The 3,543-nt window shown below is 36.0% G+C and overlaps 1 annotated feature.

Annotated features, from left to right (window-relative positions):
- Window positions 1,547-2,167: an enhancer, noted in NCBI's record as "OCT4-NANOG hESC enhancer chr14:99117229-99117849 (GRCh37/hg19 assembly coordinates)". NCBI's record gives its function as "activates a minimal SCP1, AML or CMV promoter by ChIP-STARR-seq in primed H9 embryonic stem cells {active_cell/tissue: H9 hESC(primed)}" and the evidence as "EXISTENCE:reporter gene assay evidence [ECO:0000049][PMID:30033119]".

Here is a 3,543-nt window from a genome sequence, read left to right on the forward strand (position 1 = left end):
GAGTGTTCAAACTGTTCAAATAAGGCAAACGCCATCCTGTAACCTATCCAGCTCTTTCTGTACCTCATCTCCAATTTCTGTACATCACTTCCCTTTTTTTTGCCTATAAATTTGTTCTGACCACAGGCATCCCTGGAGCCTCTTTGAAACCGCTGTGATTGCCGATTCACGGATCGTTCATTGCTCAAACTCCTTTTAATTTAATTCAGCTGAAGTTGTTTTGTTACCAGAGATATAAGCATGAACCTTTTCTTCTCACTCAAAACTTAGGTAACTAGAACAGTAACTAGGACATAAGAAGCATTCAGTAAATATTTGTATCAAAGGCAGCATAGCTTGGTAGTTAAAGGTAATTCTTTTTTTTTTTTTTTCTTTGAGACAGAGTCTTGCTCTTTCGCCAGGCTGGAGGACAGTGGCATGATCTCGGCTCAGTGCAACCTCCACCTTCCGGTTTCAAGCGATTCTCCTGACTCAGCCTCCTGAGTAGCTGAAACTACAGGCGCATACCACCACGCCCAGCTAATTTTTGTATTTTTAGTAGAGACAGGGTTTCAACATGTCGGCCAGGAGGTACTTGATCTCTTGACCTCACGATCCACCAGCCTCAGCCTCCCAAAGCACTGGGATAACAAGCGTGAGCCACCATGCCCAGCCTTTTTTTTAGACAGTGTCACTCTGTTGCCCAGGCTGAAATGCAGTAGTGCAATCAGGGTTCACCCCAGCCTCAACTTCCCAAGCTCAAGCAGTTTTCCAGCCTCAGCCTCCAGAGTAGCTGTGACTACAGGTGTGTACCACCACATCCAGGTTTTTTTTTTTTTTTTTTATGTTTTGTAGAGACATGGTCTAATCAGGTTGCCTAGGCTGGTATTGAACTCCTGGGCTTGAGTGATCCTCCTGTCTTGGCCTCATGGGATTATAGGTGTGAGCCACAGCACCTTTTCTTAAGAGACTTCTTGTCTGTGAAACTCTACCGCAGTTTCTTCATCTGCTACTAATAATTACCATCTCATAAGATTTTTTTTAGAATTAAATGAGTTATTAGTTAATATATACAGAGTATTTTGAGCAATGTCTCACACATAAGTACTCAGTATTATTTCTACTTTGATTAGGATGATACTTACATTTTTATTACAAGGCAATTTATTTTGAAGTTGGTGATATAAATAAAAATCACAGCCAACATTATAAATATCATTTATTTCACATTTATTATGTGCCAGGCTCTATCCTAAACCCTTTTTTGTCCTAAACTTTTGTCCTGCATGTTTTTATTTACTTATCATAATTATAATGCTCTTCCAAGATATTTCTTCCTTTTTGGAATTTAAACTGCTGGGGAAAAAAATGTACAAATTCTATTTATTATTATTAAGAACTGGGAAGCACATTTTATTGTCTGTATTGCCTATAGTTCACCTTTATATAATAGACAGAAAGATAATAGAATAACTCCTTCTTGGTTTAGAAAATTCATTTCAGCTTTTTCTACCAATAAATGACCTAGTGACAGATCTACAGTATTTTGTTCCTGGCATATTTGAGTTCCAGCTATTGTACAACATACTCTAGTTGTTAATTGGTGGCTTATTTGGAACACACAATTCTAGAAATAAACTATTGTTCCTTTTTGTCCAGAGCATGCTAATCCCTGACCTGACATTTCTGGTCTATGCCTAGGGAGGTAAGCTGGGAATTCGGAAGTGTGTTTTTTTATGTATAACGTGTAAAGCTGAGACCTGAGTAACTTAACAATAATGATACTACAGGCATTACGCTCCCTATGCAGATTTATGCAAATTGCTGTAAATTTCCAAGGACCCCTAGGCCATGGCCTCAAAGCATTCCTGCTGTGGGCAAGCAAGGTTTTGAATAATAATGGAAAATGTGACTGCATTACACAATGTCAGCCCAGTAAAGGTGACTTCTTAAAACCACCCTCTCCCAGGTATTTCCTGCCAGGCAGTCACATTTGATGTCATCCAAGCCTAACAGCATATCTCCAAGGAAGGTATTATTTCCTTTTTTTAAATTATGGGAAGTGAGGCCCAGAGGAGTAAGTGCCTTGACCAAGGCCACACAGCTGGAAAACAAAGTTGCCCTCTCTCCCTTGAGTGTGAATTTCTCCAAGCCAACTTGATCTTCATTTCAATCTCTATCCATAGTACCCAGTGAAGTGTTCTTGCTACAATAGAAATTTGTTAATTAATTCATTCAATAAATATGTATTATCTATCACATGCCAGATAAATCACAATTTATGAAAAAAATCCAACACACAAACACATTCGTATCTAAGAACTCGTATTACAATGTTATTTTTAATAATGAAAAAGAAAACTGTCTAACTGTGCAACAATAGAGAATTTGTGAAATATACCATAAAATATTCACAGCCTGGAATATCTTATAGCCATTTTTATAGAAGATCTAATGATGTAAACTAGGGGTCAGCACTTTCAGCCTGCCACTTGTTTCTTAGATAAAGTTTTATTGGAACACAGCCATGATCACTCATTTATGGCTGCTTTTCATTGCAATGGCGGGATTGAGGATTCGGGACACACACCAAATAGCCCACAAAGCTTGAAATATTTATTATCTTACCTTTTACCGAAAAAGTTTGCCAACCCCTGGTATAGAGAAATGTTCATAAAATGATAGGTGTAAAGGGCAGAACATTAAAAAAAAAACCCAACATGCTTACAGATATTATGACTGCAATTTCCTTCCAGCTAGTTTCGATCAGCCGCTTATGTTATTCCATTTGATGATGGCTGATGAGTGTCACTGCTTCCTGTGCTTCAGTCACTGCCCTGCCTACCTCCTGTGCACTGACAACCCAGGGGTGCATCAGGTAACCCTACCTTCAAGAAGTTCACAGTTTAGGCAACTGGTATAAAATATTACTGGAGAGAAAATAGAACTTATTTATACCAATTTCTTTGAAAAGAAAGCAGAAACTAGAAAATTACGAAGAGTACACTTTATCATGAAGAACTATAAAAATGAATTCTAATGATAGAACTATAAGGAGAAATTATAAAATCCAAATTTTATATTATGTGCTCTATCAAAAAAAGATGAAAAATAAATGATTAGAACAAAATACACTCTGTTTAAATGTGTGTGTATGTATCTATTTATCTATCTATAGTGTATACATACACACAAATAAATAATTCTATATGTAGAATGAGAAAATATCTATTATTTTTCATGGTATATGGAACTCTAATATGTGTTAGGTTCCAAAGTGTATTACATACAACACATTTCAAAGAATCAATATAACACAGCCCAAGTTCTCTGATTACAATGCAATTAAAATTTTAAATCAACAATAAAAGTATCATCAATGCTCCTTTCCTTTAATATGCTTGGAAATATAATGGGCCAAAAGTGGAATCAAAATTAATTTTTGAAAATTATGTAAATTTAGAATAAATTAGAAATCAGTATACTGTATATCACAACTTTTGTGAAAAGCTAAATTAATATTTAAGACAAATGCATAGCTTTACTGAATTTATTTTAATAAGA

Source organism: Homo sapiens, chromosome 14 (assembly GCF_000001405.40).
Source record: "Homo sapiens chromosome 14, GRCh38.p14 Primary Assembly".
Classification (NCBI taxonomy): Eukaryota; Metazoa; Chordata; class Mammalia; order Primates; family Hominidae; genus Homo; species Homo sapiens.